Source organism: Homo sapiens, chromosome 4, assembly GCF_000001405.40.
Source record: "Homo sapiens chromosome 4, GRCh38.p14 Primary Assembly".
Classification (NCBI taxonomy): Eukaryota; Metazoa; Chordata; class Mammalia; order Primates; family Hominidae; genus Homo; species Homo sapiens.
In genome coordinates, this window is record NC_000004.12 from 7888693 (window position 1) to 7911802 (window position 23110).

Below are 23110 nucleotides of genomic sequence, written 5' to 3' on the forward strand. Positions count from 1 at the left end.
GGGCCAGCAAATAACTCAGAAAAAAGACATTACAAGGAACCAAAAACAGACTAACACACCTCATGAACACAGACAGAAAAATTGTTAACAGTTTTTTTTTGTTGTTGTTGTTTTTTGAAACAGAGTCTCACTCTGTTGCTCAGGCTGGAGTGCAGTGGCATGATCTCGGCTCACTGCAACCTCCGCCTCCCAAGTTCAAGAGACTCTCCAGACTCAGCCTCCCAAGTAGCTGGGATTACAGGTGCCCACCACCACCCCCATCTAATGTTTGTATTTTTTAGTAAAGACGGGGTTTCACCATGTTGGCCAGACTGGTCTCGAACTCCTGACCTCAAGTGATCTGCCCGCCTCAGCCTCCCAACATGCTGGGATTACAGGCATGAGCCATTGTGCCTGCCATTAACAAAATTTTTAGCAAATTAAATTAAATAATATCCAAAAAGGATAACACATTAAGACCAAATGGAGTTTACCCTTGGAATTCAAGGTTGGTTTAACACTGGAAAATCATTAAGTATAATTCACCATATTAGCAGATACTAAAATGAGGAATACAGGGGGGTTGTTTTCTAGTAAATCTAATAAAAGGCATCTGCCTGTAATCCCAGCACTTTGGGAGGCCAAGGGGGACGGATCACGAGGTCAGGAGATCCAGATCATCCTGGCTAACATGGTGAAACCCCATCTCTACTAAAATTACAAAAAATTAGCCAGGCGTGGTGGCACGTGCCTGTAGCCCCAGCTACTCGGGAGAGGAGGCTGAGGCAGGAGAATCATTTGAACCCAGGAGGTGGAGGTTGCAGTGAGCCAAGATCGCACCACTGCACTCCAGCCTGGGCAACTCCATCCCAAAAAAAAAAAAAAAAGAAAAAAAAAAAGGCATACATATAAAAACTAAAGTTTTTCATATTCTTTATCTCACTTTACGATTAAAACTCATCAAACTATTCTTTAAACATGTGAGGTTTATTGTACATCAACTGTACCTCAATGAAGCGTTTTTTTTTTTTTTAAAAAAAGAACAATTGAAAAATGAAAGAAAAGGAAAAAAGCAACCTAGTACCACTTCCAATAGTATTAAAATATGTTAAATATATTAGGATAAATTTAACAAAGTATGTAAACAATCTATAAACTGACAACTATGAGATGCTGTTAAGAAAACACCAGTCTATGTCTGGTGGGAGGACCATAAATAAAAAGAGAGATACTATATTTAGAAGAATCCCTACTGCTAAAATAATAACTCTGCCCCAAATCCATCTATAGATGCAACACAATCTCAATCAAGATCCCAGGAGCAATTTTTGTTAAAAAAAAAAAAAAAAAAAAGAAGCCAATTCTAAAATAGACAAAAACAAAAAGAACAAAGAACTAGAACACAAATTGGCCAAACGAGGTGGAGAAAAAAAGAACAATGTTGGAACACTTCTATTACCTAGCTTCAAGGCTTACAATAAAGCTACAATTATCAATACAGTGTGGTATTGGTGTTAGGATAGATTGGTGAACAAAGTCCAGAAATTCACCCACACATAAACGGTCAACTGACTTTTGACAAAGATGCCAAGATAATGCAATGGGGAAAAAAAACAGTCCTTGGAACAAATGCTGCTGAACAACTGGATGTCAGTATGGGGAAAACTAAACTCTACTCCTTACGTCGTACCAAATACAAGAATTACCTTAAATAGATCAGACCTAAACATAAAAGATAAAACTATAAGACGTCTCAATGAAAACATAGGCAAAAATATTTATGACTCTGGAGATAGGCTGAGATTTCTTACAGCAGAAGTACTAATATATAAGAAAAAAATAAATTGAACTTTTTAATCTTTAAGAAAATCAGAAGAAAATATCTGCAATACACATTTCATGACACAGCACTTGTAACAACACACTGAATACCAAAAACACATGAAGACAAACAACCTAATAAAAAATGGGCAAAGTGGTTACAGACATTTCAGGAATGGCCAATAAGCACATAAAAATATGCTAATATCATGAGTCATCAGGTTAATGCAAATTAAAATCACAATGAGATGCCCTGATACATCCACCAGAATGATTAAAATTCAAATGACTCATCATATCAAGCCTTAGCAAAACAGGAGAGCAACTAGAATCCTCCCACTTTCCCGGTGGGAAGGCAGAGTTTGGCAGTTTTTTGTAAATTTAAATGTACACGTACCATGAGATCCAGTAATGCCACTCCTGGCTATTTACCTAAGAGACATTACTGCATGTGTCTACATAAAAACAATGGCAGCTTTCTTCATAACAGCCCAAAACTGAGCACAGCCTAAGCAGCCACTAATAAGCATGTGGATAAACAGATTGCAATATGTTCACACAATGGAATCTTTTTCAGCAAGAAAAATAAATTACCAAAAAAAAAAATAAATAAACTACTCACACACATAACTCAGATTAATCTCAAGAAAAGCCATGCAAAAGAAGCTAACACAAGCCCAAAAGGCATGCTATCTGACTCTGTTTTGGTGAAATTCTAGAACTGGCAAAGGAATCTGCAGGGCCAGGAAGCAGATGAGCGGTTGCCCGGGTCTGTGTCCTGGGAGAGGACTGACAGCAGGGGCTGTGAGTGAATTCAGGGTGGAGAATGTTCTCCGTCTTCACGGACTAGGATTCTGTGGGCTGAAGAAGCACATCCGAGGTAGAGAACCAAGGACCAGAGAGAAAACCTAACTGGTCAAGGTCACGTAAAATTCAACAGGAAACACTATATATTCTAACTGATAATACTAGATCTAGGTAAATAGAACTTTAAGAGATTTTGCTACACAACAGCATTAAACTTAGGTAATAATAGCATCAGACTGGCTGAGCATATTAAGAGCTAATTCTGTTTTTCATAAGGAAGACAGCAGAATTCCTAATCACAGGCTCTAATGAATTGTATTCTCTTCATTATCATAAAGCTGTGTTACATCTTGATATTCATGAGTGAGTCTTCTAATCCAAAGGAAGGAATAAAAAACAAAGGGGAAAGAAAAGGAAGGTTGAACTTATAAATATGGTCTCATTAAAAAAAAAAAAAAAAAAAAAAAGGCCGGGCGTGGTGGCTTACACCTATAATCCCAGCACTTTGGGATGCCAAGGCGGGTGGATCACCTGGGGTCAGGAGTTCACAAGACCAGCGTGGCCAACATGGTGAAACCCCATCTCTACTAAAAATACAAAATAAATTAGCTGGGTGTGGTGGTAGGCACTTGTAATCCCAGCTACTCAGGATGCTGAGGCAGGAGAATGGCTTGAACCCGGGAAGCGGAGGTTGCAGTAAGCCAAGAAGGTGCCATTGCACTCCAGCCTGGGCAGCAAGAACAAAATTCCGACTCAAAAAAAGAAAAAAAAGAAAAAAGCAAACTATGTTCACTTTATGGGTGAAGTAAATGAAGTTTAGAGAGGTGAAGAGCCCACAGGCTAGGAAGGTCAGGAGCAAATTTCTCCTAAATCACTGCAGGGATGGGCAAATTTCAGTAGGGGACAAAAGAGGCTCCGGCACCATTTCTAAGTACAGAAGCATCACTTAAGAACTACACAGGCCTCTCGACATGGAATGAAAGATGACCCGGCCAGCTGCCAACTGCCCCATCAGAACATCTAAGGCTCTGCAGATGTCCAGAGTGACAGATGGGCTCCTGACCACAGGGACAGCAGGCTCTGCAGAGGAGCAGTGGGAGGTTCCAGACTGAGAGAGCAGTTCACAGACCTCTGCATTCCCCAAGGAGACACTGGGGGAGGGGCAGCCCACAGAAACGGGGAGGTGGGAATCATTGGACCTGCATGCTGCCAGCTGTGAGATGCCACATGTCCAGCAACTAAGAGAACAGACATTCCCCATTCACCTCCATCTTTTTGCACTTGAACTTGATTATATGCATCTCTCAGCCATGATTTAAATAAAAAGCTGACCCTGATTAACACGGGATCTGGTGGGTAGAGTGGAGACAGCAGCTTCCAGGGTGCCTAGAACACGAACCCCCAAGACTCAGCCTTTCCCACCGAACAAACCACCATCATTGGTAACACCCCAAACTATTCCATGACGCATTTGAGACTGCACCCTGACCTCAGCCAGCTGGGATGAAATTGCAGCCCATGAGTCAAACGTGGGATGTGGTGGGGGAGCAGCGGGGTGGGGGATCCTATAGGAAAAAGGCGGATGAAAATACCCTCCTTGAGATGGCAGAGGGCAGACGGAGAAAAAGACCATCAAGAGAACATCAAAACACACAACCAGAAAAAGATAAACTGGAGCATTTCAACCATAAGAACTTGAACTCTTACCTCTCAGTATATCTCATAACATATATGAGAAAATGAAGAAGACACAAAGACTGAAATCAAGGGATTTTTACCAGCCCCGGTGCCGGGGGGGCAGAAACCACCCCGTTTCTCCTGGTCTCTTCTAACTGGTCTATGGCTTTTTACACTATTCCAGATCAGTGGCTAGCAACATCCCCTTTCCATCAGGAAAATCATGTTGAATCATGACTCTTGTAAGATGTCTAAAAAGACATAAAACTGCCTTCACGCTCTAAAGTTACATTACACTTTTAACGTAAAAAAGCTAAGGATTGGCTGGGTGCGGTGGCTCACGCCTGTAATCCCAACACTTTGGGAGGCCGAGGCGGGCGGATCACGACGTTAGGAGATCCAGACCATCCTGGCTAACATGGTGAAACCCCGTCTCTACTAAAAAATACAAAAAATTAGCCAGGCGTGGTGGCGGGCGCCTGTAGTCCCAGCTACTTGGGAGGCTGAGGCAGGAGAATGGCGTGAACCTGGGAGGCGGACCTTGCAGTGAGCCGAGATCACGCCACTGCACTTCAGCCTGGGCGACAGAGTGGGACTCTGTCTCAAAAAAAAAAAAAAAAAAAGGTTAAGGGTTAAAGGATTTTCAAAAAGTACTTTCTGTCCTCCAGCTTGGAACACCCTAAACCTGTGCTTCTCAACCTTTCCTGGGGACACAACTCACCACCGGGGGTTCTTGTTAAAGGCAGATTCTGACTCACTCTTCTGGGACGGGCCTGATATCTGCATTCTAACATGCTCCCAGGTGGTGTCAACGCTGCTGGCCATGGGTCGCACTTTGAGAAGCCAGGCCCTAAGCCACACTGACTTTGGTACACCAGGGCGAGGGTGTTTCCAGTGTAGAAGGGAACCAGCAATAATGCTCCTTAAGGAAATAATGCAAACGCTGCCGCCTCCCTCGCCTCTACCCACAGCCTCAGCGAGCCCTGGAGGCTTCAACAGAGGCTGAGTTCAAATCACCAGCAAAGACCTCAAGAAGGGAGACAGCACAGTAAGAACAATGCCCCCAAACGCTGCACTTGGCCTCTGGCTGACGTTCACACTGTCAAGTTCAAAAATATCTGAAATGACTTGGGAACAGTGGGGGTTAAATCTGTGCACAGGTTCACCCATGTCCTCAACCATCCACAGCAGGGGAGACTGCAGCCCACACCTGGCCCAAAGCCTATTTTTGTCAATAATGTTTTATCGGAACACAGACACGTCCATTCATTTATGTATCACCTACAGCCGTGTTCACACTCCAACAGCAGGGATGAGTGTCGCAACAAGAGTCTAAAGCCTACAATATGTACTCTCTGCTCTGTTACAGAAAAAGCTTGCTTACCTCTGTTCTGGGTCTTTAGGGGACAAAACTCGAAAAAGGAAAACCTGAAGACAAAGGATATGACGCTAACACAGAAGAAGCATTTAGCACAGAGGAGCGTGAATTCTGAGGCAGAAGAGACGTACATGTCAAGACAAGCCTGGTGACGGCGGCAACCCCGGGACTCTGTTAGCTATGAGAGGCCAGCCCGCTTTGTGAAGGGTGACCATGCTCCTTTCAGAATGCAGAATCAGGGAGACAGAGGGGGCCTGGTCCATCTGTGTCTGCCCCACCAACCACCATAACTGTGTTGGCTCCTTCTATACACCCACTTCACCACCCTTCTCTTCACCAGCCCTTCGCATCATGTGACCCACCGATGAAGAGGTAGGTCTGAAATGAGGCTCTTGCGTTATCTGGCTGCCGTCATCTCTGGAAAGATGGGGGCCCTAGGTTCTGCTGCCAAAGAGGAAAAGCCTCGAGGGCTCCTGACAGGAGGCCTAGGATTGAAGCTCCAACCACGAGGGGAAGGAAGGGCCATGGGCTGATCTCCAGGGAGGGGGATGCTGGAAGGCCTGCTGTCTCTCTGCCCCTGGCTCCCCAGGCAGATGGCTCCGCCGCTATGCATGTGGGTACAGACGGAGGGGCAGGTGGCACCAGGCTCTGGGTAACATATGTCAGTGTGCTAATGGAAGCAAATTAAGAACATCGTTGGTCTCACACACCCGCTTCGCAGGGCTGGGGCTGCCACAGGGAATGGATGAAATCCAGACTCCAGGAGGATGTGATGATAGAACGATCTGGACACAGCGAATGAACACAGACTTCGGTGGTGGAGGGTTGAGGCTGGAACTCTGCTCCAGCACTTGCCAGGCATGGCCTTGAGTACAGTGCTGTGCTACCTCACCTCTAAAAACGAGGATCATCAGAGGCTTGTCGGTCAGTTCTTTAAATGTCATTATGTGAAGAATTTAAATTTAGCACAGTCCTTAGCTCGTAAGAAGTCTCCAATAAATTACTACGGTCATTATCAGTATAATTATTATCTGTTAAAGATTTTTTTAAAAAAAGCTCTTAAAGGATAATCTCCACTTTAAAGAGCGGTTATGAGGATTAACCAAAGATAATCTGTAACTTTGTCTACTCCCCAGCATAACACATAGTAAGTGCTCAAAATCTGTAGCTATTCCCCACCCCAAAGAAACCAAATCTGGCCTCCCTTACATGTTTCATGCAATGCCAATCAACTTTCCAAACAAGTCACTCGAGTTTTTTAAAATAATGTCTCCAGAGTAGATACTATCATTTTACAGGTGAGAAAACTAACTCTCAGGACTCAAGGACAGAAACCTAATGAATGACAGAGCGAGCTCTGCTCAGTGAACAATAGCTGCCATCCAAAAATATCAGCGGTTTTAGGAATTAGCAGCTCAGTGATCTTTGCTTCAAAAAAGCAAAAAGACCACATTCACACTTTACCACTTCTACATGGAAGTGTGTGTTCTTCAGAAAGTTTTTTTTTTTTTTTTTTTTTTTAAGACGGGAGTTTCACTCTTATGCCCAGGCTGGAGTGCAGTGGCGCGATCTTGGCTCACCACAACCTCTGTGCCTCCCACGTTGAAGCGATTCTCCTGCCTCAGCCTCCTGAGCAGCTGGTATTACAGGCATGTGCCACCACACCCGGCTAATTTTTGTACTTTTAGTAGAGACTGGGTTTCTCCATGTTGGTCAGGCTGGTCTCGAACTCCCGACTTCAGGTGATCCGCCCGCCTCGGCCTCCCAAACTGGGATTACAGCCACCATGCCTGGCTCAGAAAGTATTTTTTATAGAACTAATCCAAATGGTCCAATTTCTATGGAGCAAATTTTCTTTGTAATGCCTAAAACACAGTATAACCCACCATTAAAAGAGGTTTTTTACATACACCTTTGGTTTTCCAGCTAAGGAATGTCAATCTGCTCCCCAGAATGAGGACTCAGAAGTTACAAGACAAACTAAATAATACTGAACACCGACATGACGAACCTCCTAAAATAAAGCAAGCACCTCCAACGAGGGGTCTGATCACTCTCGACTTCCTTCCTCCCACCTCTGCCTACTCCCTCCCCAACCCCATGGTCTGTAAAACAGCTCTTCTCAAGTCACTTGATGACATCCCTGTTGCCAAGTCCAGCTATCAAGGCTCAGTCCTCACTCCCCCCACACCCAGGGCTCAGTCCTCACTCCCCACACACCCAGGGCTCAGTCCTCACTCCCCCCACACCCAGGGCTCAGTCCTCACTCCCCACACACCCAGGGCTCAGTCCTCACTCCCCCCACACCCAGGGCTCAGTCCTCACTCCCCACACACCCAGGGCTCAGTCCTCATTCCCCCCACACCCAGGGCTCAGTCCTCACTTCCCCACACCCAATGCTCAGTCCTCATTCCCCCCCACACCCAGGGCTCAGTCCTCACTCCCCCCACACCCAGGGCTCAGTCCTCACTTCCCCCACACCCAATGCTCAGTCCCCATTCCCCACCCCAGCCCCCAACCGCCCGGCAGCACATGATGCCTGGCAGCATGTGACACGGTGTGACACGGTGTATCTATGGCCCATTCCTCTGGAAACAGTTCCTTTGGTTTTGTCACCTACGTGGCTGGTCTCTGCTGGCTCCCCTTCTCTTCCCAACCTCTGAAGATGTTTGGTCTAGAGACTCTTTTCTTCTCCTAATTCTATCCACTCCCAAGGTGATTTCCTCCAATCCCATGATGTTTATCTTCAGTTTGGCCCTCTACCCTCAACTCCAAACCATTTCCAACTGCCTTCTTTGGGTAGGCTGAGCTCAATCTCATCTTACAGAGGGTCAAAGAGGTGATGAAAAATAATGAAAACACACCTTCAAGGAAGCTGTTGATGATGAATTTTGAAAAACAGGACATCAGAGTAAATTCAGTTATGCAAACTGAGGACCTGCTGTTTACGAACAAACGGTAGGAAAACATGTAAGAACTGTAGGCTCAATTCCATATAAATGAGCTGAACACACAACTACAGCTACAGCCTCTTGCTAGCCCTGTGTGCATTCAGATGCTTCTTCTCCTTGATCACAGAATCCGCTAATCCTATCTTGGGAACTACTCATCTTCTTTGGAGTCTCTTGCATTCTGCTTTTTCTCCCCAGCGCTTGTTTTTTTTGTTTGTTTGTTTTTGTGGTTTTTTTGACATGGAGTCTCACTCTGTCACCCAGGCTGGAGGGCAATGGCGTGATCTTGGCTCAATGCACCTCAGCCTCCCAGGTTCAAGCAATTCTCCTGCCTCAGCCTCCAGAGCAGCTGGGAACACCAGCGTGCACTGCCACATCTGACTAGTTTTTGTATTTTTAGTAGAGATGGGGCTTCACCATGTTGGCCAGGCTGGTCTCGAACTCCTGACCTCAGGTGATCCGCCTGCCTCGGCCTCCCAAAGTGCTGGAATAAGTGCTGGAATTACAGGCATGAGCCACCGCACCCAGGCAACACTTCGTGGCATCTCTTTTTGGACCTCAAATTTAGCATGCCCAAAACGCACTTTTGATTCCCCCTGCTATAACCCACTCCTCCCATAGTCTTCCCCATCCCAATAACAGCATCTCTAGTCTTCTAGTTACTCAGGCCAAAATCCTTGACATCATCCTTAATCATCCAAACCACTTAAACTCTCCTTTCAAAGTATGTGCCAGACCTAACCACTCCTCACCTTCCTCATCCTTCCCAACCAGGTCCAGCCTTCATCATAGTGCTCTGGGTTACTGGAAAAGCCTCCCAATCACCGGGGACAGTGGCTCACGCCTGTAATCCCAGCACTTTGGTAGGCCAAGGCGGGTGGATCACCAGAGGTCAGGAGTTCGAGACCAGCCTGGCCAACATGGTGAAACCCCTCTAATAAAAATACAAAAAATTAGCCGAGCATGGTGGTAGGCACCTGTAATCCCAGCTATTCGGGAGGCTGAGGCAGGAGAATCGCTTGAACCCAGAAGGCAGAGGTTGCAGTGAGCCAAAATCATGCCATTGCACTCCAGCCTGGGTGACAAGAGTGAAACTCCATCTCAGAAGGGGAAAAAAAAAGCCTCCCAACCCACCTCTCTCCTTCCGCCTTTCACCCTACCCTGCATTCTACCTTCCACTCTCAAACATTTCAGGAAAAAAAAATTATATCCACAGAAAGAGAAAGTGCAAATGGGGTGAAATGTTTGGGCAATCTGAGGGAAGAGCATACGGGAATTCTCTGTACTATTTTTGCAACTTCTCCATAAGTCTGGATTATTTCAAATTCAAGAGTTAAACAAAGAAAAAGAAGAAAAAAAAAAAAAAAACACTCTCTCCCTTTGTGAACCCATCCTGTCTTTCCCCTGGCAACTTAAGGACGCTCTCAACTAAGCACATCTATTTTTTCACGAACACTAAAAGAACCCTTGCCTAGTTTTGTCTTTCTGTGCTGGGCAGTAGAAGTGTGTGTGTGTGTGTGTGTGTGTGTGTGTCTATTTCATATATATGTATGTGTATATATATGTGTGTGTGGTGTGTGTATATACAGAGAGGGAGAAATATATATGTGTGTATATATAAAAACATATAAATGTATATATAATGTGTATATATACACATTTGTGTATATACAATGGTATTGTATATACACAAATGTATATATATAAATATATGTGTGTGTATATATATATATAAGTAATACATACCCCACAGCCTGTCCTTAACGAGTTCTAAACTTAGTGGGAAAAATACATACCTAAGCAGAGAATTTCAAAATAATATGATGAATATTTTAATAGACAGATGCATTGGTATGGAACATGCTGCTAAGACACATAACCTCCTAGATAGGGCAATGAATGAACTAAGTTTTGCACCTATAGGCGCCCCCACTGATATCCTCACAAACTTTTACAGTTATACGCATTTGCTTCCCCCAGGACCCCCGTTTCATAAGGGTTAGTCCTGGAGCCTAGCAAGTTCCTACTACAGCTGTCACACATATGCCATTCAAGAAACAGTGGCTGGGTGAATGACGAGTTAAGAACCGTTTGTCAGTCAGTGCTCAATAATACAACATGCACTGGTATGCAAATTATATTTTTGTTGAAAACAAGGGCAGGATCACAAATTATCTTCCCTCGAGAAAGGCAGACCTCAAAAACTTCTTTACCCTACTAAAGCACATTATAAGAAGCTCCGCTTATATAAAAGAAAACCTCCTCATTCATTATCAATGGCATGTAAACCTAATAAGCCTCCACCTCTGATAACATCTCTTCCATCCCCAGGGCTAGATAAAGGAGATTCTGAAAACCCTGTTAATTGTGAAGGTGGCTCCCAGCTCTGACAGTCTTGAACCCTACAGGAGCCGAGGTTAGACAGCAGAAGAATAACAAAGGGAAGCATCAGCAGGCTTCGAATATGTTTGAACCAGAGATGGCAAATAGGCTTCAACCAACTGAAAACACCAAAGATTCATACTGGCCACCTGAGGGGTTGTGCTCTTTAAAAATAAATAAATAAATAAATAAATAAAAAAGGAAGGGGTCAAGAATCCATCAGGTCTGAATGAGAAGTGTATCAGTGACTAACACCTCATATGGCAAAAGTACTCAGGTGCGTTTTGGTTACTCACAGCTTCAACAGCATTCAAAGGCATGTGCTTCCCTAAGACTAAGCCATGGCAAATACCCCCAGCAACTCTGCAAGGAGAACATCCAACATGTATTTGGCTAGAAATACAGTTGTCTTTAACAAATTAACACCAAATAAATCCTGACTTATTAGAGCCTGCAAGAATGCCATTCTCAATGATAACAGTTATCACTAAAATCTCCAAAAATCTGCGATCCTGCAAGAAGGAACTGTGACAGAGGAGGCCACACATCCAGAATGCTTCCAAGACTGCCTGTTACAGAATAAAAGAAATGAAACCCCCCCAAGAATGTCTTTGCTCACATTTAGCCAATTGTTCCTTTGTGCGCATCTAGCACATTTAGCATTTAGCACATTTAGCTGCGCATTTAGCACAGCTAAAATGGCCATTCTTCCCCACAGCCTGAAGTTGTATGCTAAAATAAATGAGACTCAAATGAAGCCAGAAACGTGCAGATGTGAGGAAACCAACACAAACTAAGTCGGCTGGACAGTGTGGCCAGGAGGATGGTGCTTCCCAGGAAGCAATTACTTCATCTCTGCCCATGAAGCAGGCAGCTGTCATTGTCCCCCAGGCCCACGCCAGCGACTCCAAGTAGGTTATAACCAAACTACCTCTAACAATCAACTTAAATACACCACACAATTGGCTTCTGAAAGGGTACCTTGTAACCAACAAGAAACTATAAGCACAACTTTGAAAAACTGTACAACTAAAAACCTTGGAAACGGATAAACACTGCAACATTTTGACTCAAATACTGTTACGTGGTAGCATTGCAATAATTCACTGAAACAAAAGAATGAGTGAGGAATACGTTTATATAGGAATCAGAGGAAGCACGACTAATCATTTAAAGAAATAGGTCAAGAAACTGCTAGGTTCAAATGCTACCCTGAGACACCGTCAGGGCCTCAGGCAAATTCACTTCTCTTGGTCCTGTTTCTATGTTCATCAAAAAACAGCTTTGGGCTAGGGAATCTGTTGCTTTCCAATGCCTTCCTTCTGCGATTCCAGCGCAGATTTTAGGACTGCTCTCCCACTTGGTATATGAAAGCACTTTCTATGTATAACAGCAAGAGTACATTTCTGTGTTGAATGCAGTTTGGGACCTACCCTATGAGGAAGAATATAATCATGTAACTTTAAGCATGACCACAAGGCATACTCTAAATAAGGATAACACATAAGATGTGGCCATATGCCTGTGCGTGCCTAGCAGGGAGATGGGGAAGTCTCATTTAATGAAGCCAAGGGTGCCTATTGCACCTTAACATCCTCACTCCACATCAAGTTCACAACGTCCTTCTGACATCAAATCACAGGTATCACATACTTTTCCATACTTTCCACCGAAGATTAAAATATGCAGAGCACCATGATAAAGACGCCTCCATCACCAGCATGTTGGCTCTCACTGTGCGGAATTACATACTTCCGGTGCTAAATGATCACCAGGCTGCAGCGGCAAGCAAGACCGGTCTCCGTGGGGACAGCAGCCCCTGCAGCAGCCCCACTCCTGTCGCCACAGTCTGATGCAGCTGCAGAGAAGCTGTGGCTGAGGCCATTCACTTTGTGAGAGAACCGCACAGGAGGGAAAAGATAGGGAAGGTAGGGAAGAGGGCAGGTGCAGAGCCAGGGAAGGACCTGTGATGAGAACGGAAAGGAATGCGCCTCCCTGTACACACACTCGGATTTTATGAAGATGTGGACAGGGGGCTGAACTGGATGCATGAGAACATTCCTCCAAGTTCCTTTGCTGTTTTTCTAAATATTGATGTAAAATCTGAACTCAGACACAATTTTTTAAAATCACTTCAATCAGCATCTTTGTCTGGTGTTCAGCATCATATCTACGTGATCATCTAGAAAACCAACTTCTGTTCTAAGGCTCACATCTTCCTATAAAGTCCCAGAGATTTTATAGTGGAATGCACCCCTCATTTGCATCAACAACACACACAACTACCATTAAAGAAATGCTTAATTTGCTTATATAATTTTTTAAACACCCATATTTGAAACACAATAGAGAAGACAACTTTTGATAGCTCTGCTTTCGAACTGCGGGTGGAGCAAATAACCTGCCATGATTTCTAACCAGTCAACAACCCGTCTTCTCTGACTGCAATAGGAGCAATCTTTCTGAGCTCAGGATGAAAAAGAACCCAGCTGGTTAGGGGACAGATAATAATCAGTTCTCAGCGGGCTTCCCGGGTCCCAAATCCCCATGTGATGCGTGGAAGTAAAAAGCTATCAATGACCAAGCATCTGAACGCTTATCCCACCTCGCCATCTGCTTCTCCTGCCATGCAAATTTAAAATTAATAAGCCTGCTATTAGAGAACAGAGTTGGTGCTGCATCTGTCTTCCTAAAATTATGGGTAATTATCAGCCCACAATGGCTGCTAATCAGATTTGAGTGGTCCCTTAGACAGGAAGCTAAAGTGCCTCAGCCCTAGACTGAGAAGAAAACAGAAACTGGAATGCTCTAGGTTTGATTTTTTTCCCCTTGTTCTAAAGTTGCTGTTTCCGAATCTCCTTCTATTGTCGTGTTTATAAAATGTATGAGAAACAGGGACATTTAAAGACATCATAGAAATGGCCACTCTTTCTAGGTACAAACCTTGTGAACATAATTTTCATCTGCTGGGCTTTTTCTCCACAAACTGTGACCCTGGAGTACATATTCTCCATTGCGGTTACACATTCAGAGTCGGGGAAGATGGCTTTAGCAGTAAGGCAGGGAGTGCAGTGAGAAGTGACCAGGCACTGGGAGGGGCAGACAGGGACTCTACCGCAGTGGCCTGGAGCGCTCCTGGGCCTCAGCCTTTACTTTTCTATCTGTACAAGGGATCTAAAGGCCCCTGATTCTAGGCCACAACAGCTCTTCATACACACATACACAAACATTACACACCTATGTGAAAAGCTATGATACTTGGCTGATTTCCTGAAGAGGTTATCTTGTATCATTTCTACTCAAGTACTCCACCTCCTTCCCGGCAAGTATCTGCGCCACCTCCCTCCAGGCAAGTATCTGAGGATGATGGGCTATCCCACAACAATGTGTGTAATCTCTCCTGCTTATGATCCCTATTCACAGAGCATTTTCCAAAAGCATCTGTCATGAAGTGACAGAAGAAAGAAGAATAAGGTTCTTTCAGCCAATTGATTCATTCATTCATTCAACAAATATTGACTAACTATCTAGGTGCCAGGCACTGGTCATATAACAGGGAACATATATTTTTGTAGGTAGAGACAGACAAGCAAAAAGTATGTTAAAGAGCAATCAATGCTGTAGAAGAAAATACACCAGGAAACTGGAAAGAAGAATACCCCTAGCCACCCTACACTGGGGTGACGCTAGCGTTACAAAGTGGAAACAGCGACCAGGCGCGGTGGCTCACACCTGTAATCTCAGCACTTTGGGAGGCTTAGGCATGCAGATCACCTGAGTTCAGGAGTTCAAGATCAGCCGACCAACACGGGGAAACCCCGTCTCTACTAAAAATACAAAAATTAGCTGGGCATGGTGGTGCACACCTGTAATCCCAGTTACTCAGGAAGCTGAGGCACAAGAATCACTTGAACCTGGGAGGTAGAGGTTGCAGTGAGCCGAGAAAGTGCCACTGCACTCCAGCCTGGGTGACACAGCAAGACTGTGTCTCAAAAAAATAAAAAATAAAAATAAAATATAAGCAGAGAATAAGATACCAAAAGAAAGAACATGAAAGATTAATTGTAACAAAAGCCTTTGTAAGCTGATACTTTCCTTCCTGGATCCTTGTCCCTCACAAATGGAAAAAAAGGAGGCGGGCGGGCAGCATCAAAATGATGGTGATGTTTTAAGATGGCTTCGGGTTTCAGATGTCTGACAGCCATACTCATGTACTTCAAGGAAAAAGCTCTGTAAGCCATCTGGGCAATGGTTTAATGTCTTTTTTTTTTTTTTCCAGAGAGTTTTTAAAATACAGGAAAATGTGTGTGTTTATTTGGCTGTTCTGTGCCTGCACACGTGCAAACTGTGCTAACAGATTTTTCCATGTTTTGCTGAATTTGCCAGCTTGCCATAAACAGGCTTCCATGTCTTTTCTTAATTGTCTATAAATAGCACAAACACCCAAAAATGCAAATCAAGACAAGCTGTCCCTTCAACTGCTGCTGCCATGATGACAGCGAATGACAATTGGCCAAACCAATACGTGGAGACTGAAGCTGTCCAGCAGAGTGCACGGGGCCGACTGCTTTTCCCATAGCGTTTAAAGAAACAAGCGGAAACGGCTCTCCACACATGACAGACAGGTCCTTTGTTCTTTGAATTAATACTGCCAATGCCCAAAATACTTTCTCCATCACACTATCTATATGGAATTCAAGTTCCTTCCAATACCATGAGTAACGCCAGTGATAGACTATGTTTAGCCATAATGACCCATTAGCGTTCTTTTTCCTCTAAAATGTTGAAATAATAACATTTAGTGTGCACTCACGAGGTGCCAGGCTCTGAGTTTTATCTCGTCTAGTTCTCGCTGAAATCCTGTAAGATCAGTACCATATTCTCTCATTTTTCATAGATGAGTTAACTGAGGCATAGAAAGATTAAGTAAGTTGTCCATGGTCACAGGTTATTTAGTAACTTTTCTCCAAACTTTCAAAAGTTAACTACTGCCACTATTACAAATGGTTTGTTTGTTTGTTTGTTTGTTTGTTTTGTTTTAGGACGGGGTCTTGCTCTGACCAGGCTGGAGTGCAGTGGCGCGATGATGGTTCACTGCAGCCTTGACTTCCTGGGCTCAAGAGATTCTCGCACCTCAGCCTCTCAAGCTGGGATTACAGGCATGAGCCACCACACCTGGCTAATTTTTAATTTTTATGTTTTGTAGGGATGGGGTTTTGCTATGTTGCCCAGACTGGTCCCGAACTCTGGGCTCAAGCGATCCTCCCAGCTCGGCCTCCCAAAGGGCTGGGATTACAGGTTTAGGCCACTGTGCCCAGCCCTACAAATGTGACTTATACAAAATCAGAGCAGTGAGCAGGGAGAGAACAGAGACTGCAGCGAGTCTCCTGGCTGTTGCAACACCATATCCCTCCTCCATACCGTAATGTGTCTACACCCACCAAGCTCCTAGAAGTTGAAGGCATGCCAGCTCAGAGACTAAACAGAAGGAAAGAAAGAGCAAGATGCATACATGTGTCTTGATTTCAGCTCAAGCTGAAATCAAGCGTGCCTCTCTCCCCTGCAGCTGCACAGGCAGAAACCAGGGGCCATGATTCTGAGGCAGCGTGTTTGGTTCCTAGCAGGTAATCTTTTGGGAGACCATCCCATAAAATTAGTGTTATACTTCTCAAAAAGGAAGTGTGACTTTTATAGAAAAATCTATTCCATTTGGGAGAAAGGTCTAATAAAACCACAAAAGGATAATACATTCATACAACAACAAATTAAATTCATCTGTCACAAACTGAAATCCCAAAGCCCTCTGGGCGCACAGCTGCTTTTCTGAGCTGAAATTCAACTCCAGTTGAGAAACAGGTCAACTTTTCTAAAAAGATTTCTTTTTCACATGCCTTAAATAAAAATTCCTTTCCCTCACTTGTCATTTTCCAGATTTAATGGCTCTGTTGGCCTTTCTCTCATTTAGGCCATGAGCACTGACTGCATGTCTGCTGCAGCCAGGACTCCAAGGGAAGCACCCTAGGGAACACAGATGACCGCAGCACAGTGACACCCTCCTCAAGAAGCACACACAGGGAAGGCAAGATGATACAATCACAACCTTCACACAGAAAAGAACTTGGCATCCATACCCCGTCCCATTTCTAGAACAACGATGCTGAGTCAGTAACATTTACCAAACAGCCTGCAGTGTGGAGGCAGGCATAAGGGGGCTCCATGCCGGGAAGAGCACCTTCCGCAGGGGGACACGCATGCAACGTGGAGGCAGGAGACACCCCCACGCACAAGGGCCAGCCTGGGGGCCTGCTGAAATGCCCATGCATGTGGGAGGAGGGAGAGAGGACAAGATACCTCAATGCTCCAAAATGAATAGAAACCTCCCAAGAACCTCTCTCCAAACAGGGCAGGGATTTACAAAAGACCAAACCCAGCATGCAGAGTTACCTGAGCAAAGCGCCATGAGAGTGACCTATCGAGAAAGAAACAGGGTTACTAGAAGCCCGAGCCTCTACTCCCAGCTCTGCGACTCATTCACCCTATGACCTCGCTGAAGGCTCTTAGCTTCTGTGAGCCACAAGAGAATCAGGGGGCAACAGAAGATATGAAAGCTGCCCTGCCTTTTTCACAGAACTGCTGAGGGAATAAAATCAGATAATGGATTTTAAAATTCTCTGTGAATTACGAAGCAAAAAACAAACGTATGAAATCATTCTTATCATTAATAACAGCACTGCAAAATTAAGAGCAGAGTTAAGACTACAGCATTTTCCACCCCCCTATTCCGGAGAAAAATAGTGAGTCCAGCCAATGTATTTGGGCAACCGCAGTATCTAGGCTTCGAGAGCCTCAGACAGCTCATGAACTCTGACAGTATCACTCCGGCCCAGTGCTCATTAAGTTCTCCAAGACAGCCAACTGACATAAAATACTACAGCTTTTTCAGATGGGCTTGAAGCCCTCCAAACTCACAGCACAGCTAAACAACGAAGAGGTTTTCTGCCACTAGACTCAAAAGCTGGCTTTTGTAGATTCCCACAGAAAGAACATTCAAGGCCAGGCGCGGTGGCTCACGCCTGTAATCCCAGCACTTTGGGAAGCCAAGGCGGGTGGATCACCTGAGGTCGGAAGTTCAAGAACAGCCTGGCCAATATGGCGAAGCCCCATCTCTACTAAGAATGCTGGCGGGCGCCTGTAATCCCAGCTATTCGGGAGGCTGAGGAGGAAGAACCGCTTGAACTCGGGAGGCGGAGGTTGCAGTGAGCTGAGGTCGCGCCACTGCACTCCAGCCTGGGTGACAAAAGCAAAACTCCACCTCAAAAAAAAAAAAAAAAAATTCAAATGTCACATGATGATATTAAATTTCCTGTGCTATGCAACACAGAGAAATGCTACAACGTTGAAATCCTGAAAAACATATTCATAAAAAGCATTTAGCGACTTAAAAGACATTCAATACAACTTGTAACAGTGAGTTCCCCTCCTCTTTCCAGCTAATTCCACTAATGCTGTGACCTTAACAATGCTTTTGCTAAAACAGAGGAAAATTTATAGGACCACTTACCCCTCAGCTGACAGCTAAACCACTGCTTCTCCCTGGGCTCACTAAAGATGACCTTTACCCAAAACTAGGCTGCAACGTCCCTGTAAATGTTGACTAACAATTTCAAAATTCCCATGTTCTTTGTCCATGCCTAAGGAAGATGAATTGAAACCAGATATCTCAAAGTCAGAACTAACAGAGGCCTTAAACATCAGATGGCCCAACCCCTTCTTTGACAACCGAGGGATCTAAAGCTGAGATTATGGAAGAAAATAGCCTGTTTAGTAACAAAGTGAAAACCAAAGCCTAGTCACCTAACCTCTGGTCCAGAACTCCTGCAACAACCCAGCACCCATACAGGACCAGTCTCCCTAACCAGAAACTCCGAAATCTATAACTTTTTGAGCGCTGACGTGACGCCCAATGAAATCTTCATTGGAGCAGCTCAGATTTTGGATTTTTGAATTCAGGATACTCAACCAGCAAGTATAATACATATTCAAAAATCCAAAAATGTAAAAAAATCTGAAACACTTCTGGTTCCAAGCAGTTTAGATAAGGGATATTCAATCTGCATTGTTTTTTTTCCTCTAATGAAGGAAATTAAAAATGAGGCCTGAGCAAAGCCATTTAATCCATACTAAAGCCATTCAATAGTTTAATTAGCACCCATTTAAAGTTAAGTGCTACCCACAGATATTTAAAAGCATGAATACATACACGCCTATAATCCCAGAACTCTGGAAGGCTGAGGCGGGAGGATCACCTGATGTCAGACGTTCAAGACCAGCCCGGCCAATGCGGTGAAACCCCGTCTTTACTAAAAATGCAAAAATTAGCCGGGCGTGGTGGCACACACCTGTTATCCCAGCTACTCAGGAGGCTGAGGCACGAGAATCGCTTGAACCTGGGGGGAGCACGTTGCAGTAAGCCGAGATCACACCACTGTACTCCAGCCTGGGCGACAGAGCAAGACTCTGTCTCAAAAAAAAAAAAATTAATTTAAATTGTGTTTTAACATGGAGCCCAAGTTCCCAGAACACAAGCCCTGCTCTATGCTCCAAGGGCACACAGGGTGCCCCTTTATCTTAATACTCGCCATATTCCATGGCAGCCCTTGGCATCACACTAGGCTTCCTGTGCATGAGGCAGGGATCATATATTATCACTTTTCTGTCCCCAATGTCTAGCCTAGAAGACACTCAGTAAATGATTACTGAATTAAGTCAGTTACTAAGATATTTTAAACTTGTATTAACAAAATTGATTTAATTGATTTAATAAGTTTACCAATGCAGCTTTGATACCACACAGCTTAAATCTCAACTTGTGGATTTATCTTGTGTTCTGCTAGATTATCATCTATTAATATTTAGGAGGCACATACTAGGTGCCTAATTCATCACTAATTGCTGGGGACCTAGCAGTGGCAAAACAACATTCCTTGTTCAAAGAGAAATTCTAGTATAAAGAGGAATAGAAGGAACAGGCTAGATTGATGAGAGAGCTAAGAAAAGGACAGGCTGCCATAGGAAGCACCTGTTCTTGTCTGGATGATGCATAGTTAACGAAGTCTGAGTGCTTCGTATAGCATAAGATCATCTCCTCCAAAGAAGCTAATGAAGCTTTGATGCCCCAGTACCAGAAGTCACCATAAAGGTGCACATAGCCACGTGCTTAGTGTAGGAAGTGAAACCAAACAAACAAAGCTCCAACTTCTAGAGGCAACGGTCCAATTATAAAATCCTCTGGCTACATTCAATTGAAATTCAAGGTATTCAAGAGGCCAATATTTAAGTGATAAATTAACCCAATCACTTAAAACTAAAGTAGTCTTTGGTTCGAGGGGTAAGGGTATACTACCTTTTACAAATTCATTAGCTCTTAATATTTACATTTAAATATGATGATGGTGGTGTCATAATAACTTTACTGAGCAGTTACTATGTGTTAGGCACCAAACTAAGCACTTTGCACACATATTTGCACAATCCTGTTAGATGATGACCCCTTGTCATCCCATTTCATAGATGAAAGTCAGGTTTATATAAGTTTAAAAACTTGCCCCAAATTACACAGCTAGTTAGCAAAACCCAGGCAGCCTGACTCCATAGCCCTTGCTTAAAGAAGTATTATTTATAAACTGTCCAGCACAGCAGTGGTACAAACAAGAGTTCAATAAATACCTAAAGAGTACTTCATACCCAAAATCGTTTCCTGCCAATCAAACTAGACTTACTCTGGTTCTGCATAACCAACTGTCAAATTATTGTTTCATGAAGAAAAGGTGGAATGGGTAGAGATCGGAATAGAGTGAATAACCGGCAAATATACTTCACGGCAGGTAGTAACAGGATGTGGCATTTAGGCAATTTCCACATTTGTTTGCATAACATTTTTTTCATGGTTCCAAAGCGCAAGAGCCATTCTAAGCTAGTGAAAGCATAAGGCATGTGTATGATTCAGGACTCCAATTCACCGTGGATCAGTGGATCTCAATTTTTACTGTATATCAGAACCATCTGGGGGTTTTTAACAGAACTATAGCTGCCCAGGCTCCATTCCTGCAGATTCTATTTCAACTGGTCTGGAGTCAGCATGCATGCTTTTTTCACAGCCCCCCAGATGCAGCTAGGGTTGCAAACCACTGTCCAAGACGCTCTCACACCTTGGCTCAGTTCAACACACATTCATTGAGATGCTAAGCACTACGAATCGGGCTAAAACAAATCAGGCTCCACTCCCTAATAATATTGGCAAAGAAGCCAATCTCAGAGATTTATTCCAGTCCAAACCAAATAAATTGCCGGGTGAAAAAAATACCCTGGTATAGGCTGCCATACAAAACAACTTCTTGTATCTTCCCGGTCAGTGGCCTAGGGACTGACTCTGAGCCATGAAAATTCAGAATCAGGGAAAAATGCCAGTCTGAGGCATCTGCCACACTCCTAGCACACCCCCAAAAGCGCCCAGCTACATTTCACATCCACTGTCCTAACAGGAGTCGAAACAGGGAAAAGCAGTGCAATACAGAAAACAGAGCCTGCTGGGAGTCAAAAGACTGGGGAATTCCAGTCCTAGCCCTGCTACCAACCGGCCTGGTCACTTCTCTCTGGTCTTGGTGTGGCCAACAGTTACAGAGAGGGTGAGGCATAAAAACAAGAGATGTTAGGCAACCTCCAGAATTCAAAATACATAGAAATAAAAAAACATTAAGGTGATATCAAGGAATTTATGCCATCAACCAGAAAAGTAACTGAAGTATTCCTTTTCCCATTCTTAAGAAATCAAAAGTGGAAGCAGAAAATTGAGCAATCAGCCTACCAAGTCAAGTGGGGCAACAGACTACACTCACGGATTCTGCTCACAACAGCGGGAGTAACAGACCAAAAGAAGAACTGCAGAGCATCCCTCTCTCCCCCGTTCACCCGTGCCACGAGCACGTGAGTGCATCCACAGGCAGCACCCAGTCTCCTGTTCCACTGACTCCAGCGTCCACTCACTGCGAGCCTACTAAGTGGCCACATGTGCTATGATGCTGTCTCATCTCGTCACCATAGACATCTCTGCTGGAGGTGAGTATGTGATAGACGAAAATCACGGAGGCCTAGGGAGGTTGAGACACGTATTCCCACTGCGGTGAGGGCGTGCTTGAGAGGCACCCCACGACTGGGCCCTCCATGCCACTCTCCTCAGTAATCACTCCCAGACCAGAGCACCGAGGGGTGGATCTTCTTCCTCTCACTTTTTTCAGCCCCTTGGCTGACCCAGCATTCCCCAGAAAGCTATCGAGTCCTGGCAGCTCTGAGGCCACAAAGCCATAAACGCACGGGACACACAGCCCATCTGTCTCCAACGGGTCTTTTACTTGTCATGCTGGTCATTTCTATGAGCAGATGGGTTGAGAAAGACTTGGCAAGTTACCACGAAATGACCCCTCCACTCCTCCCTGGGGGAAGGCTGACTAGCGAGCCAGGACGGCTTTCTTCCCCCACTCCCTGCATTCCTGTCCCTAAGGAGCCAGAGACAATCCCACCAAATATAGGCAGGAGCCAGCCGCCTCCTTCCTACAGCCGGAGGGGGGAAGGGTCCTCTTGGGCCTTTCTAAGTGCATGAAAACCAAACTGTGAGCTGTACTGACCCGGGCCTCGCCCATGTTGCAGGCATGTACAACACAGGCGCCCAGTGATATCATCAGGCAGAACTATGAATGTGCTTTCTATCATTTTCATACAATGATTCCAGAGCCGCTATTCACACAGCTCCACTTCTCACACAAATGACATGCTTTACGGATTGCACAGCATTTTCACCATGCCCCTCATCCGCTCCTCCCAGCAGCCTTGCGTGATCCCTTGAGTATGCTTCCTCATCTCCATTTTTTAAGAAATGGAGTTTCTGAGTTTATGAAACCAAAACTTTCCCAAGAATATCCAGCTAGTATTAGAACCAGGATATAAGGGCCTCTGATTCTAGAACCAGTACTTGTGTCACTATTCCACACGGGTCCCTCCAGGGATTTCTGCCTGATATTAAAATGCAGACAGCAAATCCATCTCTCTAGAGTCCTGGGGT

General features: G+C 44.5%; 1 protein-coding gene across 5 annotated transcripts in view, besides 1 other annotated feature; it reads right to left on the reverse strand.

Annotated features, from left to right (window-relative positions):
* The window catches only part of AFAP1 (actin filament associated protein 1), a 181149-nt gene that overhangs the window by 129980 nt on the left and 28059 nt on the right, over nucleotides 1–23110 (reverse strand). Inside the window, exon 2 of one of the 5 annotated variants that reach the window (NM_001371091.1) lies at nucleotides 6373–7150. The exons of 3 other annotated variants lie outside the window; for them this stretch is intronic. Coding sequence is in view for 1 of the 2 variants with exons in the window: in XM_047416061.1 (XP_047272017.1) it covers nucleotides 17440–17455 (16 nt within the window). In the remaining variant the exon portion in view is untranslated. Of the gene's footprint in view, nucleotides 1–6372; nucleotides 7151–17439; nucleotides 17503–23110 lie in introns of those variants that run through there. One more of the 5 variants, XM_047416061.1, reaches the window with a different exon arrangement.
* Nucleotides 5316–5509: a silencer, noted in NCBI's record as "fragment chr4:7895735-7895928 (GRCh37/hg19 assembly coordinates)". NCBI's record gives its function as "represses an EF-1alpha promoter that drives an FKBP-Casp9 reporter gene in an ReSE screen in HepG2 liver carcinoma cells {active_cell/tissue: HepG2}" and the evidence as "EXISTENCE:reporter gene assay evidence [ECO:0000049][PMID:32094911]".